This window comes from Homo sapiens, chromosome 1 (assembly GCF_000001405.40).
Source record: "Homo sapiens chromosome 1, GRCh38.p14 Primary Assembly".
Lineage (NCBI taxonomy): Eukaryota > Metazoa > Chordata > Mammalia > Primates > Hominidae > Homo > Homo sapiens.
Window position 1 is genome coordinate 107,382,376 of NC_000001.11, and position 17,068 is coordinate 107,399,443.

The following is a 17,068-nucleotide window of genomic DNA, read 5'->3' on the forward strand; positions in this document are numbered from 1 at the left end:
ATCATTTGACTCTAAAAATGTGACATTGATCCATGTTAAATTATTTTAAATTTCACTTTTCATTAAAACATTTGTACACACTTTGTGCAGACTCCATTTTGGAATATTTAACCAGATAGACAGAAAGATTGCAGGCATTGACTATAATTATGACAGTGTCAAGAAGTCCAGTAGTCACTATCTGGTTATTTTTTTCTTGGCCATGTCCTATCTGTTGTATCATTTCAGACATCATTGCTGTTCTTCATTTCTCTTTTCAGGGTTCTTTGTGTCTTTGCTTTAAAACCTTTGTTTCTATTCTTAAGTGGCACAGTTTGGGTCATTGGTCTTGACAAATAAGATCAGATTCCTTTGGTGGGCTTGGGTTTTTGGTTTTGTTTTCCCTTTTCCTCTCTCTCTCTCTCTCTCTTTATTTTTTGTTTTGTTTTTGGTCTTTAAAACTTCAACTTTTCCAAGGCTTATTAACAAAAGTAGGCCACCAAATAAGAGGAAAAAAAAAAAGAGCTTTGCTAGGTGCACTCTTCTCTATTGGAAATTATTTTATTTCTCAGAAAAGGGAGAATTAGAAGAAAGCTATTTTCCCCAATTTTCCATACCACCCATGGGAATCCAATTCAATTTCCTCTCGAATTTTGTAGTAAAAACTAAAAGTATGGAATAAAGTTGCTGGAGTGTAGTATTCTTTTACACAGATTTGATGTTTTAAAATTCTTAGTCATAGAGCTATTTACTCAGCCTGATCCATTTCTAATCAGAGTGTAATATAACCATTTGATGAAATAATCTTTTTTTAAGTAGACAAGTATACATATTTAAGAGATATCAAAACCTTACCTGATAATCTAGCCTGATAGAAGAGGGCTATGGAGTCAGATGGCTCACAGCTCTCTAGCCAGAGCCTGCCTGAACTCTGTGGCTTTGCAAAACCCAAGAGAGCATTAGGTTTATTCTTGCTCTATTTTTCTTTTCTCACAGTTTCCCCTATAAAAAATTATATTGTTTAATCCAAGGAAGTATATAAGAAATTATCATGGTATAGTTCACATCAAATCGGAAATAAAAACCTAAATGAAAGAAATATTTCACTTATGTGGTTCTATAAAGAGAAAAAAAGAAAGAGATCTAATATAGAAGTTGGTTACCATAAACCACAGAATGGATGAATATGTGTGAAAATAGCTTGAATACATCACAAATCTTTATAAGCTCTAGGACTATTTTATTTATCTTCATAGCAGTCCTACATTATAGCTAATAATAATAGTCTTGAGTTACACAGAAGGAAGCTGAGACTCAGTTGGATGCACCCAGCAGGTTAATGAGAGAGCCAGGACTTGAACTCAGCCCCTTTTGTCACCAGAGTCCAAGCTCTTAACACTATGTTACCCTATTCCTCTTATAGACTCTGGTTACTTGAACGTTGTTCATTTGTATTTCTGGGGCTGGAATACCCTAAACTTTCTGTTTCCTCAAAAGGACGTAGAATATAAAAGTTTGCCACACCTGTGCATATATTAAGCACCTAGTTTTGTTAATGCTGTTAATTGCTTATTGGCCTTGGGTTCACTTAGTTTTAATTTAACAAGCCTTTTGCCTACCAGTCTTCGGATAGATTGGTTTTGTGGAGAACGGTTGCAATCTGGATTGTAGTAATTATCTTGTTATGTCTTTTATCCTTCAGCACTCCTTATCTAACCAGATTCCTCATGAGTTTAGCAAATGGTCACGGAGCACCATCATATTCCTGCACCAATCTTGAGCAGTTCATTATCTCAAACTTATAAGCTCCTATCTTCATTTTATAGTCATGGTACTCTAGCCTCCCTTGCAAGCTTAGAAATAGAATAGGGCAACTTTTACTATTATCTAATAGAACCAGCAGTTTACTGAATCATGTAATCTGATGCTTCACTATACTCAAGTTTAGAGGCTCAAGTAAGGTTTAAATGGAATTTTAGATAATTTTTTTAAATGCCAAGATGTCTAACTCATTTATTGCCTAAATGTACAAGAAGACTTTCTGGTCCTTGTTCCATCAACTTCTGGGGCAAGCCAATTGCTCTCTCTCTCTCTATATATATGACCACAGCATCCCACTGTCCATGAAGAAATGATCAAAATCTCAGTTTTTAGTTTACATTCCCAGAGGAAACTGCATAGCAGTCTATTTCTCTGTTTATTTGTTTTTTCTTTATAGTCTATACCAGTCAGTTTCCAAAGATAATTTTCTCAAGAACAGAGCCCAAGACAAGAAAATCCCATCAACCAGGAGCTATATTAGGTACTCATTATACTTGTGAAAGAATGAGCTCAAGAACTCTATGGAAACCTGGCCTCTGGGTTTGCAGAGAGGCTGCCTAGAGCCCTAATGCCCCTTCTTTCATGTATGCTTCTCCTATAATACAGGAATTCGTATGCAAATTGGCTGTTGTCCTCTTTGTTGGTCTGTTGACATGTGGCTGCTTTCAAAAAATTATAAGAAGATATCTATTTCACATTAAACTTTGGTCATTGCATATTTTGGAAAAATACATCTTCTAAAAACATTTTTGCTTAGCAGGGATAACTACTGTCAAACTCTGGGTTTTTATTAATAAAGAATGGAATCATAGAATGCTGAACAGATTGGAGTCTTCTCTTTCCTCTGGTATCAGGATCAGGCCAGGCACACTTGACATTTCATGATCTAGGCTTTTGCTGTAATATTGTACTTAATTATACAAGTGATGATAATAATAGCTTATATTTATTAAGTGATTAATATATACCAGGCCCTGTGTTCAGATATCAGTTGTGGGAAGACAGACTCACGTTAACAGTGCCCTAGGACTGGGATCGTGGCCTCTGCTCCATATACCCACTTTGACACACGTTCCCTAATTACAGTGGAAGTTGTCTGAGGGCTGGGATTCAGTCCCCTCACCGCCACGCCACTACTCTCTGGTCTCTGCCATAGTCCATGTGGTCCTGGTCTCTGCCATAGTCCATGTGGTCCTGGTCTCTGCCATAGTCCATGTGGTCCATGATGGCTCCACACTGTGTTCTTATTCCAGGAAATAAATGAGAAATTGAGGAATGAGTTTCACAGACGCCATGCCTGCTAATACCCCATCGGTCAGAACATAGTCATATGGCCACACCTAGCTAGAGAAGGTGTTGAGAGGTGTTATCTTTATACTGGTGACTGTGTACCCAGCTAAAACTGTGCTGTTGTGAGGAAAAAAAAAAAAAAGATTATATATCAGTTACCAGTCTTGGCCTCATTGTGTCATATCATTTAATGCTCCTAACAACCCCTTTTGTAGGTATCTTATTATCCTCATTTTACAGAGTAAGTAAATTGAGCTTAAGGAACTTGCCTAAAACTTCCTGCTGCACAGGGCTACATGATTCCAGGGCTGAAACTTTTATCCACTGTTTTCTATTCTATTTTGGATAAATGCCATACTTTTAAGAATTTTGTTTTTTTTTTTAATGTACAATTCAGTGGTTTTTAGTATATTCAAAATGTTGTGCAACCATCACCACTGTCTAATTCCAGAACATTTTTATCACTCAAAAAGCCCCTATCCATCAACAGTCACTCCCCATGTGCCCCTCGTGCCCCTCTCCCCATCTCCTGGCATCCACTAATCTACTTTCTGTCTCTATAGACTTGCCTATTCTGGACATTTCATATGAAGGAAACTGTATATATACATATATATACTTATATGTATGTATATATATATACACATATATATACTTATATGTATGTATATATATATATGTGTGTATATATATATATATATTTTTTTTTTTTTCTTCCTTTGAAATGGGGTTTCACTCTTGTTGCCCAGACTGGAGTTCAATGGCATGATCTCGGCTCACTGCAGCCTACACCTCTTGGATTCAAGCTATTCTTCTGTCTCAGCCCTCTGAGTAGCTGGGATTACAGGCGCCCGCCACCAGGCCCAGCTAACTTTTTTTTGTATTTTTAGTAGAGATGGGGTTTCGCCATGTTGGCCAGGCTGGTCTTGAACTCCTGACCTCAAGTGATCTGCCTGCCTCGGCCTCCCAAAGTGCTGGGATTACAGGCGTGTGCCACCACTCCTGGCAGGAAATCAGATATTACGTGGCCTTTTGTGTCTGACATTTTTCACATAGCACAATGCTTCCAAGGTTAATTCATGCTGTAGCATGTATCAGTACTTCATTCTTTTTTATGGCAGAATAATATTCCATTGTATGGATATACTGAATTTTGTTTATCTATTCATCAGTTGATGGACATTGGGTTGTGTTCACTTTTTGGCTATTATGAATAATGTTGCTTTTAATATTTGCGTACAAGTTTTTATGTGGACATATTTTCAGTTCTCTTGGATAAATACCTAGATGTAAAATTTATGGGTCATATGGTAACTGTATCTTTTTGAGGAACTGCCAGACTATTTTGCAAAATGGCTGTACCACTTTGAAAGTGTAAAAACACATTTTATACTCCCAATAGCAATCTCTGAGGATTCCAATTTCTCCACATCCTTGCAGCATTTGTTATCATCCATCTTTGTTTTATTACAGCCATCCTAGTGTGAATCGGCGTCTCATTGTCATTTTGATTTGCATCTCCCTTAATGACAAATAATGTTGAGCATTTCTTCGTGTGCTTATTGGCTATTTGTATATCGTCTTCTTAAAATATCTATTCAGATTCTTCACCCATTTTCTAATTGGGTTATTTGTCATTTTATAAATCAGTTGTTAGCATTCCTAATATGTTCTAAACATAAATACCATTTTAAACAGTAAGTGCAACCCATTTTGATATAGTTAAATTGTTCAGTTATTGTATGAATGCACCAATTAGTAGATTTGACAGAATTTCCAAACAAAATAATCAGTCCAGTTTGTGAGTACAGCTAGAACCTTAGTGCTAGTCCAGTTTGGGCCAAAAATTTTATTCTGGTAGAAGGGAGAGGGCTTGCATAAGCCTCAGCCATATTTTAGTTTTTCTGTTCATCAGAACTCTGACATACTGGTGAGCTCTACAGTGTTTCTCAAAGCTTACTGTGCATCTAAGTCATGTGAAATCTTGTTAACGTTGCAGATTCTGCTTTAGTAAGCCTAGAGGAAGCCTGGGATTTCTAACAAGCCCTCTGCTGATACAGAAGATGCTGGTCCATGGACCACACATTGATTAGCAACATTAGAGTATTAAGTGTTAATGTGGCTGTCTAGAACCTTGAGTCTAATTGTTATATGAACCAGATTGCTTAGTTCTAATCTCAGAGAGAGTAATGTCCTAGATCCAGCCTTTGGAATTGACTCTTGGCTGCCACTTACCAGCAGTGTGTTTCTTTGAGCAAGTTACTTTACTGCTCTCAGCCACACATCTGAAACTAACAGGTAATTATACCTCCTTCTCAGAGTGATAATGAGGATGAGGTGAAATAATGTACATAAAGCATCTATTACAGTTCCAGGTATATGAAGGGCCTTGGTAATTGTTGGCCCTCTTTTTTCCACTTGCCTTCCGTAATAGAGACTGTCTCCCTCTGATTGTTCAGTGCAAAGGCATCATCATCACTGGAGAGACAACTAAGTGTCCCTACCCTACTTTGTTATATTGTCATGATTAGATACAGAGAGTATTACTCTGTTTATAGTCTGTAGTTATTCTGTGTATGTTTCATCTTCTCTACTCAACAGATTCTATGTTCTTGGGGATTAGGACTATATATTGCCTTCTGTTTGAATCCCTATGCGACCTCTCATGGTGTATCCATAGACTATCCCATTAATTAATGCCCACAGAATGAATCAGACAGCCCAAGTCCATAGTAGTAGAGATAGTAACTATAGAAATAATAAAGGAAACTAACATTTGTTAAGAACTTTGTGTCAGATACTATCTTAAGGGCTTACATGCATCATCTGGTTCAAGCCCCACAACCGTCCTTTGAAACCCCTCCATTTCTTGCCCTTGTTTTACAGAAAAGGCAGCTGAATTTTAGCTGTACTCAGCAAGAGTGAATGCCCTCTGCAGTTGTAAGAGCAAAGTTCTGGAGGCAGGCTGCCCATGGTCTAAATCCCTGCTCCATTTTGTACCTGCTGGGATTCAGAACACTTTAATATTCAAATGCATGATCATCTGTAATCATTAGTGCAGGTCTCATGGGATTGTTGTGAGCTTGGTATGAAACAATATGTGAAAAATGCAAAAAGCAATGAGCACAATGCCAGGTGCTTAGAATTATTCAGACAATGGTAGCTTTGTTTAGTTGTTGATTTGTTAAGTTACTTATCCTGGCCTTACAGTAAGTAAGTGGCAAAGGAGGGATTTGAACTCAGGCTGTCTATTTCAGTGTCCCAGTGTCATAACTCATCAACTCTAAGTTATGTTGTTGCACATCTCCCATTTCAAGTAATGTGTTAAGGTGGGAACTGGAAATTCATGTGTCTATGTAAAGAAAGTCAAAAGTCAAGGTGGCTGCAGAGACAGAAAAAGAATGTGAGAGGCACTGTATAATGTATCACTCTTTTAAAAAGATATTTACAAGCTCCAATATTTGTGCTAACACGTTCTCTAAAAGCATTTGTATAGCTAGTGCCAATCCAAGGGAAGAGGCGCAAGCAGAGGATGATCCACATTTTGGAATGCCTAAAACTTACTTCCTTTGGGGATGCAGGGACCCAAGGGGCCTCATTAAGGAAAAACCCTCATTAATAAAAATAAATAAATATCTTACTTGAGTAAATTATACCAAAGCATATTACCATGTGAACATATTGCTAGGGTCGTCCTCAGAGCCCTGAAAGGGCCCCGAAGCTAAACTTCATCCACTTCATGGTGAATCCTCCTATGGCACAAAAGTAACCAAAACTCTGACTGCACAACAGGAAGCCTGGCCTGCATTCATGTTTTTCTTCACAAAGGGACATTTTTTTAATTTCTTTGTCTCAGTACCTCTATTTTGAACATTAGTAATAGGCTATATGGACCTCGAGCTCACAGGAAATTCTGGCAGATAACAGGCTTCCCAGAATAGATATATTAAGTTATAAAAAAATAAAAAAATGAGGCAGACGGTATAGGTTTTTCATACCTACTGGCAGGTGGCACAGAACTAAATGTTGGAGCATTTTTATAAGCAAGATTAAATTGACTCATGACAGCTGGTCACTAAAATACAGGAAGTGCAGATCTGGTTGAAAGCGAGAACACACTGGTGTTCGTAAAGTTTGCATCACAGACTAGAGCTCACTTTTTCTTTTAAGTCTGCCTTAGCGACACCCTTATTTGGCAATGTCTGCCATTTATCACTTGCACACAAGTAGATGTTCAAGGAACACGCAGGTCAATTAGTTCTATCTGCAGTGCTTAGGTATGAGTACTGTGGGTGTAAACAGAATCGGTGAATAGACTTGGCTCTCGAGAACATCAGACATGTGACTGCTAGCAGAGCCTTTTCGGTCTCCACTTGTCCAGTCCTCCCCTGCCTAAAGCGACAGGATAAATAGACGTGGGAGCTGGATGGCCATGGGAATGGATAATGAATCTGTCAGAGACAAGTGGGACGTCACAGAAGTCTGCCCTCTACACATCGTGAGGCCGGAGGTCACAGCACCAGGAATTGACAGCAATCTCCCAGCATTGTGAAATGTTTTTGTTTTTTTGTTTTTTTTCTGGCAAGGGCTCTAAATCACAGGTTTTCACATCTGATTGGAATGGGGCTGGTGAGGATAAACTGAGTTGTGGAAAATGAAAGGGAGTCCTCTCCAAACAAAGGAAGTGCCCTGGTGCCTCACCCTCTACTTGCAGTGTTCAGCCCCAGCACAGCAATTGTTACACTGACTAAGCAAAGACAGCCCAAAAGCTTCACCAGATGTGAAGTTACAGTTTTAGCCAACGTTCAAGCAATGCCCTTCCTCCAACTTCAGCTGGACCAGGGTGGCCATCCTTGCATGAGACATTAAAGCTAAAAGAGGCACATTTCAGAATAATTACGCTATGCAAATGCTTTGTTTTTTTCTCTCCCCTGAGCTGTGTTCTTTTCCTAGGTCTTTCAAACATTGTTTAAGAAGCTCTTGTTTTGGGTTTCAGTCATCTGATGAATCCCCTGGAGTTTAAATGAAATTAAACTGGGTTTATGATATCTCACAAATTTCATAGCGTCTCCTTTCTCCAATGTAGTGTAAGTTATGAAAACCAACAATTAGGGCATGTGGCAGTTTTCAACACACATCATGGAGTGTTTAATTTAGTACAATGTCTATTAATTTTTCATTAATTAGTCCATTGTCAAATTAGACACAGTAGAACATGCATATGACATTCCTGCTTTCAGGAAGCTTACTTTATTATCATTTGTCTTAATCGTCTAAGTTTTCAAGCACTTATTATGTGCCAAGAACAGCAACACACACTAGGGATATTACAATAAATAAAGCAGACATGACTGCTGCCTCCCAGGAACTTATCCTCTAGTGAGGATGACAGAATAAGCAATTAAAATACAGTCTACAGTCTATAGCAAAGATGCTATGGGTTTTATTATGCAACCAGCCTTGCCTTATGTCATAGGAGCACACAGAAAAGGCATCCTGGTGGACCAGAGAAACATTCCAACTATGGGCAGATATTTTTTGTATACCAGAAAGGAGCCAGCCACTGACATATACAGGTTAATATCTGAAGGGAAGAATTATCCTGATCAAAGAGGTAGGAATAGGAGAGTAGAATGCTGTAGGCAGAAGAAACAGCTTATAAGAGTACCTGAAGGCAAAGCTTGAAGAACTAAGTGTAGAGTTAGGAGTGGTACAAATGAAGCTGGAAAAGGGGCAAGAGATAAATTGCAAAATGAACTTGCAAGCCATGTAACAGAGCTTGGACTCTATCCTGAAAATAATGGGAAATCTTACAATGGTTCTATTCCAGAAGTGACCCAAAATATATTTGTGTAAAAAAATATTTGGACTATTGTGTTGAGATTGGGTAGAGAGGGGCATGCCTGGAGCACAAAATTCTGTTTAGAAGTTCTTGTAATAAACCAGATCAAAGATGATGATCACAGCTAAGAAAGTGATTGTTGCTAGAACTGTATGGATTGGAAAGAGAATCAAGGAAGAGTGCATTAGTCCATTTGCACAGCTATAAAGAAATACCTAAGACTTGGTAATTTATAAAGGAAAGAAGCTTATTTTGGCTTACAGTTCTGTAAGCTGTGTACAAGAAGCGTGATGCCTGCATCTGCTCAGTTTCTGATGAGGGCCTCAGGAAGCTTCCACTCATGGTGGAAGGCAAAGGGGAAGTTGACATGTCACATGGCAAGAGCAGGAACAAGAATGGGGGAGGGAGGTACCACACTTTTTAAACCGCCAGATCTTGCAAAAACTCATGGAGGGAGAACTCAGTCATTACCACAATGAGGGCACCAAGCCTTCATGAGAGATCTGCCCTCATGACTCCAATACCTCCCATCAGGTCCCTCCCTAGCATTGGAGATCACATTTCAACATGAGATTTGGAGGGGACAAAATATCCAAACCATATCAAAGAGGAATCTCAGGGCATGGTGAGAGACTGACTAATGCCAGATTAGATGTGGTAGGAAAAGGAGAGGGATACATCATTCTTGCCTAACTGGGTGGAAGATGGTACAATTTACTAAGAAAGCACAGAAGGAAGAATGGGTGAGGCAGGAAGCCAAAGAGTTTAGTTTGGGGACATATTGAGTTAAGTATGTCCAGGAGGCATTTTGATGAATAAGTCTGAAGCCTGGGAGAGAGATCTGAGATGGAGATACAGAGCCCAGACTTACCAGCATTTTGATTAGATATTCTTCATGTGGTGTAATGGAGGGAGGGGGCTCTATGGACCCCAGTGGGTAACAGAGAATCTTCGAATATCCTAAAGTGTTTTCACACTTTGAGCTTCCTTTAAATATATTTATTTGGGGTGGGGAAGATGATGTGAATTTGCTTTAAAAGGTTTGTAATGCGAAGGAAGTTAAGGAGTGCAGACAAAGATTGAAGGGACAACTAGATAAGAGTGCGCAAGGAGAGTGAGCTGGCTGTGCTAGGCCAGAACCCAGAGAACAGCATGTGTAGTCAACAGGCTGAAGAGGTTCCTGAAAACGAGCTTGGGTATCCAGAGGGGAGAGTGTCAGGGGAGAGGGAGTGGTCCAGAGTCCCAGCCCCTGAGGAAACAAATAAGGCATGGAAAAGTATCCATTGGATTTTCAACAAGGAGGTCGTGGGTGATTTGACAAGGGAGGCTGTGGACATTTGGAAGGACTGAGTGAGTGGGAGATGAGAGAATGGAGATGGCAAGTATAGGAAACTCAAGAAGGGAGGGGAGAGGACTTAGGAGGTAGCTAGAGAAGATGACCAAATGCACAGCAGGTATTTCCTCACCTTAAGATGGGAGAGGCTTGTGCAATGAGTGAGAAAATTTATAAGTATGAAAAGCCTTTAGTAACAACCTATCCAAGCACACGGACACATTTAAGGAAATCAGAAGAGTAGAACTCAGGGTTATGTACAGTGGTCAGGATGGATTCAGGTTATGAATTGAGTTGAGCCTTGAATGGTTAATAAGCTTTAGGACAGCTGAGAATGAGCCATTAATTGGAAGAAATCTGAGAAAAAATAAGACTAAACATTCATCTATTCTCCTTTTACCTCCTTTTATTATTCAAAGAATATCTTCTCAGCTAATATAATGTCTTTAGAATGGAAATTGCCTGTAACTCAGAGTGACTACAAGTATGAAAGTATTAACAGTTACAAGATACATAATCCAATTTACAATTACTCCTTGCATTCTTGATCTTCACGCAGGAAACCAGCATATTCTTTGGGATCACATTGTTCAATTTCCTCATTTGGAATTTTTAACACCAGATATGGTGCTAAATCAGTATAAGCTGGTGCTTCTATCACTTAGGTTTTAAACATCCTCCGTATATAGAAACACACCCATAAATAAAGGTGTTAATGTTGGAAGGAGAAAGATGCTTTAATAAGCAACCTAGCACAAGTAATTCCCTGCATATAGGAGATTATTATAGGACCTAGCTCATAATTAAACATTGCCTATTTAACTGAATTATTTTTTATCTTACCTTTTTAAGGAATATACAAATGTTCATTTTCAAAGGTGACATTTATGTGTCTAAGTTGAACAAGCTTATTATAATTCATAAGTACACAGAGAACAGATTGTAGCAAGAAGTATTAAACATTGTAATAGACCCCCGAGAAAGCTGTAGCTTGGTCTTCCCAGACAGGTTTGAGTAGATGGTGATTGCTTTAGGACTACACCTTTTAGTTAAAAGAGAGCCCAACAGCTTTCAGTAATAGTCTTAACCATTCCTTTTTTTCCTTGCCGTAAGTATGGGTCAGTGTTCCAGAAAGATTATGGAGGCACTAAAGAAAAACTTGGCCATTGCTATACAGACATTAGAGAAGCCAACATGGTTGTTAAGGAGTCTTATCTTCCTACCTAAGAAAGAGCATTCTGTTCTTTTTCCCATTCATGGCATTTGGCCCAAGAGAAAAATAAAATAAAATAAAATACTATAATATTTTTTGGTCTTTATGAAACTTGATTTTCTATATTTTTGTCCTAGTTCCTGGAAGAGGCCATGTTTCTCTCTCACACACACACACATAAACACACACACACACACACTGTCAATCTCTCTCTCTCTCTGGTTCTGATTCAGACCTATCTTGGTTCTCTACCCCTGCCCAGGCTGGATGCCCAGGTTCTCTCCTATGTGTGGACCATCTCTTCCCACATACATTATTCTGACCTCTGGTTGTGGCCATTCTGTCAATGTAGGTTTTACCTTTCCAGAGGATATGGTGTGATACAGTTTATATCCTGCTGCCTCAACAAATATCAAGTTAGCCACTGCAATTTTATAGTCAAAGACTTCGGGCATTGGGATGTATTTTTGTGGAAATTGCATATTCCATTGTTGCCTCTCATATATCATGGCTTTATTCATAGGCAGCAAAGGCCAGGCCTTGGCTAATGACTTCCAAACCCTGCCACATGAAGGATTTTTTTTTCTCCTTTAGGATTCTAGGCATTTTTAATTAGAGTCATTTGGCCTGTTTCTGAGAGCCCTTTGTGATTCTCCGATTTGCTGTGAGTGGGATGTCTGAGGATTACTGTGTCTCACCCCCCTTCGGGTCTGTTAGCAGCCTTGGTGGAAAATCTCTTCTGATCTGAGGAAATGTCATTTTAGAGTGCAGAATGAGAACACTTGATTATAATTTCTTGGGTTTCTAAGAATAAGTCTGAATAGCAAATTATTTTAATGGTTATCTTCCTTTTTAAACAAATAAGAATTGTCTTAACGATTTAAAGAAAAAAGATAACATTGTTCTTTAAACCCAAACGAAGCCCAGATGAAATTGTCATAGATCTGTTAATATCACAAAAAGACCTTTTCCTAAATGACAGTATTTTGGAACCTGTTGGGAACCCCTTGATTTTGGAGCACAGTTATCTTGCGGGAGCTTCAGGCCCCCACTGACTTGACTGCTATTCGGCTTTCTCAATGTACAGTGTAAGGACAGACTACATTGTAACAACCCTGCCCCCTGCAAACGGCTCTTTTGGGGAAGATTCTGAGGGCTGGGCCTGCAAATCTATCTCTTACTAAATGCCTCTGTGTATCACTAAAGCACTGCATGGTTTGAGGAGACAAATCAGGGAAGCCTCAGTGGTCACCAAGACCAACTTATCTGACAATGAACTCTTTGTCTCTCCTCTGCCCAGGTGCAAGTGTAATCTCCATGCCACTGTATGTGTGTATGACAACAGCAAATTGACATGCGAATGTGAGCACAACACTACAGGTCCAGACTGTGGGAAATGCAAGAAGAATTATCAGGGCCGACCTTGGAGTCCAGGCTCCTATCTCCCCATCCCCAAAGGCACTGCAAATACCTGTGAGTAACTTTGCTTGGTAACAGCATATTCTGTGCACCATGAGGTGATAGTTCCTCTCAATTTTGCTTACAATTGTGATTTTATTCCTCTTACCAGTTGTCTCATTCTTCTTTAAAGTGCAGCGAAAGTTTCAGTCCCTATCTTACCTCATGTAGACATCTTTTAGCACTCTGATCATCAGTAAAATTCAGTCATCTAACATTCACATCAAATGTGTTGGGAAATGATACTTGACATCACAGAAGGAATTTTTTATAAGTGGATGAGACAGGAGGTGATTTTTTTCCTCCCCCAAATTAATTTCCTATTAAAATATCAAAGGCCTTGTAAACTCTCAATCCTAATTTAATTTTAGCCATAAACAATTTACAGAAATTATTTGAATGTTTACAGCCCCATTTCCCCTACTGAGTATCCTGAGAGATGCTTTGTCCAGAATATTTCTCCCCACTACAGTTTTAGCTAGGACCTAACTTTGCCTTGTGAAAAGTTTGGCTGTTTCCAAACTCCAGCAATTGAAACATACCTGCTTTGGATCCTGTGTGTAGAGGCCCCCTTTGGATAAAGAGCATGACTGTAGGCCTGTGGGGACCACATTAAGAAAAAAGATTTTTCTACGCATGTGAAAGAGTGCAAGCATTATCCGCGTTTACAGAAACCATCTGTGTGCCCCCACTGAAATCCCTGATTCCCCATAGGAAAACAGGCTCTGACATGCTCACAGAGAAATGTGATTATTTGCTGAATAATTTGCCCAATTCCATGGATGGACCAATTAACTACCTGCAACAGCCCAAGGTTTGCACTCTTTAAAAAGTAGAGAAAGGGGGAGATTAGAATGTCCCCATTCAGTGAGAACTAACAGAAGCAGCCGGACAGTGAGCACAGGAGAATCAGAACTTGAGAAGCCACTGCTTCCGTAGAAGGGTAAGAATGTTATCAGGCACTTCAAAGCAGCAGCTGTGAGAAACCAAACCTAAGAACTAGTATCATAGGAACCAGGACTTTATCAAGTTAAACGTAAGAGTAATGGACCAAGTAACAAACCATGAAGTATGGGGGCATGAAATTATGATAACATTTCTATGAAGCAGAAAGAAATCCTTCAAAAGGTTTAAAAAAATCCCTCTTTGTAAGGGTATTCAGTTGCTTTCAGTGTTAAAGAAAAAAAACTTGACTTCTTGCTCCTAAAATTAATACATTAACGCTCTGTTGAGCAGAAACGTGGATGTTTCAAGGTGATTTTATTGATGGAGACTCTGTGGCCTTTCCTCAATTGTTGAGGGCCACAGACTCATGAATTTGAAAGGGATCTTGCAAGGTTATTTATTGCAATACCCTGTGGCTGGCTACCTAAGAACTCCTATGACCCCAGTTGTCAAATTTAGTTTAAAGCTTTCCTAAAGTAAAAATGGCTCAGATTTCCTCTTTAATGTCTGCTCCTTCTTTAGTAGAAAAGGCTGGAAGAGTGTGATGTTCACAAACACTTCCTGGCATTCTGGCTTGTCCTCAGGGCAGGTCAGCTTGCCAAGACCACTGGAGAGGCAGCAGGGGAAGGCTGCTGTTGAAGCCCTCAGCTTCTATTCTAACGTGACCTTGTTCTTCTACCCGTAACTGTACTTTGAAGTTTTTATTTCAAGACATTTTCACTGGAAAGACTTTCTTGTTTCATCCAAGCTTTCGCATTGAAACTGATTTCTTGTTATTCTCTTGTTATAATCATCATGGAAATGTCTCCTACCCCGAATCCTTTGCATATTGAAGATCACCAAGTCACTTTCTGACCAAAGGAATGAAACTTCTTTCAGTTTTCCTTGTAGGTCCAATTGTCCACCTATCCCTTAGTTTTACTGGTTTTCTGTATACATTTTGGACGTTTTTCCTCATTGATGTTAAAATAGGCAGGTGATGGATGGACCCAGTGTCCAAAGGGGTTCAATTCAATATTCCAATCATCAGCATGGCAGAAATTAGATGAAGGGTTTTAGAAACTATCTGCAGATCTGCAGTGGTCCAGTCTTGCAATGGGAATAACCCCTTTGACTAAATCTCTGACACATCAGACTCTGCTTTAAAGCATCTGAGGATGGAAGTAAGCAGTTTAGTAGTTTAGTGCACAGACTCCAGGCTGGAATCCCAGTTTCTCCATTTACTAGCTATGTGACCTTGAAAAAGTAAGCTAACCTCTCCAACACTGTTTCCCATCTCTAATGCGAGGATAATAACAGTTATTACCTCCTGTGGATTTTTAGATGGTTGACTAAGCTAACGCATGTCATATGTTTAGCCTAACACCTGTCACAAAATAAGCATTCAAAAAATAATTTATTTTTAGTTTTTTTCATAAGACAGTCTTGTCCATTGTTGGACAGTTTTAACTGGTATAAAAGTTACTTCTTATCAAACCTTTTTTTTTTTTCTTTTTAAGTAGTAAAGGAAGTATATCGACCCTGGCTTTATTTCTTCCCCAGATTAACCATTATCGACTCCAATTCTTATGTGCTAATGTTTTCATGTCCTTTACCTGGTTGCCTGCTCTGGAAGTCCTCTAATTCATTAGTGTAGTACTTCCAGCCAAGCACAGGACCTTCAGCAGTTTTATGATTCTCACTTCATATTGGCTTTTTCTTACACATATGCATACAGGTACACACACACACACACTCACATGACTCTAGTGGGTACGTTACAAGTCAGTTATCTATGAGGGATACTTAGGATATATCATCCCCTAACATAACACAAAAGCTACAACTTCTGGTCCCTCAAAATCAACTTTTCAGGGACCTAGAAATGCCACTCATCCTGGATAATCTCTAGATTTAGCAGAATATCAAGTAGCCAGGATATTTTTCAAATAGGATGACGAGTTAGTGGGTGCAGTGCACCAGCATGGCACATGTATACATATGTAACTAACCTGCACAATGTGCACATGTACCCTAAAACTTAAAGTATAATAAAAAAAAATAGGATGGTCAGTTTCTGTTCACCTTCACAAGTTTTAACAGAACAACTGGGAGGTCTTAAATTAAGTCAGGGAATGACAATATTCTTCCCCAAGACACTCAGCCCACCACTCAGGGATACCATAGATGGGAACTTGCTGGGAGTCATTTGGCTTTGGAGGTCCTCTATTCTGGAGCAGTTCAAGACCACTGTTGTATGAAACATGTAGAGCTAAGCAGAAGTGTCAGAAGGCCAACATTCTAAAATATAGCCACCCCAGTCTGTGAGACACACCACATTTCCCTATGCTTTTCATGACAATAAACTTGACAGAGGCAGAGTAACTTTTGTGATATTTTTATTCATCATGCTTTTATTCAAGACCCAGTGTGTTTTCTTGGACTTTTAAAGCCATGCACATGTATATCAAAATCTTTTCTTTCTTTTTCTACAAAGCTTATGTTTTATAGAAAAGACATTTTTCTTCTCCTTATTGATCTTCATTCTTTTTTGATAGAATTCTATTTTGGATGTCCTTTGAATTTTATTTCTGTCTTCCAAGTAATAGCAATTCTGTCCAACTTCATGCTTAATTATGATTCTCTTGATTCCCCATTGTCCAGCTCATGAATAAAAGTATTAAATAACTCTTTAAACTCTGATCCCTATGGAATAACACATGTTTTTCTATATATAGATGCTAAAAGCTTAATAATCACTATGTAGGAATCCTAACTTCAGCAAATATAATATTATACCTATACCTCTCCTTCTCTGGCTATGTTCTATGACCCATAAAAGCACTCCATGGCCAGCTAAGTCTGAAAAATGCTGTATACTATAGACTATTCATATTACATTACTATAATAGAAACATTTGAAAAGTCCTACAATAAAACAACCTATTTTACCCAATGTTTCTCAAACTTATTTGCTCCATGGACCATTCAATAACTTTCTATAAAACACTCTTATGGGGACATGCTGAGCTAAACAGTTTCTTGCAGCCTAGCCATAGAAATGTCATGGAGATAGACAGAAAACTGAGCAAGTTCAGCTGTATTCAATCTTTTCCTTTTCTCTTACCCACATGGTCTAATTGTCTTCAAAGAAAGAAAATCAAATTGGTCTGACTTTGACATTATTTGTTCATAAATCTAACTTGAA

General features: G+C 38.8%; 1 protein-coding gene across 18 annotated transcripts in view; it reads left to right on the forward strand.

The window, feature by feature from the left end:
- Positions 1 to 17,068, forward strand: part of NTNG1 (netrin G1) — a 344,836-nt gene that overhangs the window by 242,288 nt on the left and 85,480 nt on the right. For all 18 annotated transcript variants that reach the window (XM_017000683.3, NM_001312688.2, XM_047449449.1 and 15 more), the window contains exon 4: positions 12,779 to 12,951. In XM_017000683.3, the coding sequence (XP_016856172.1) occupies positions 12,779 to 12,951 (173 nt within the window). The remainder of the gene's footprint in view (positions 1 to 12,778; positions 12,952 to 17,068) is intronic.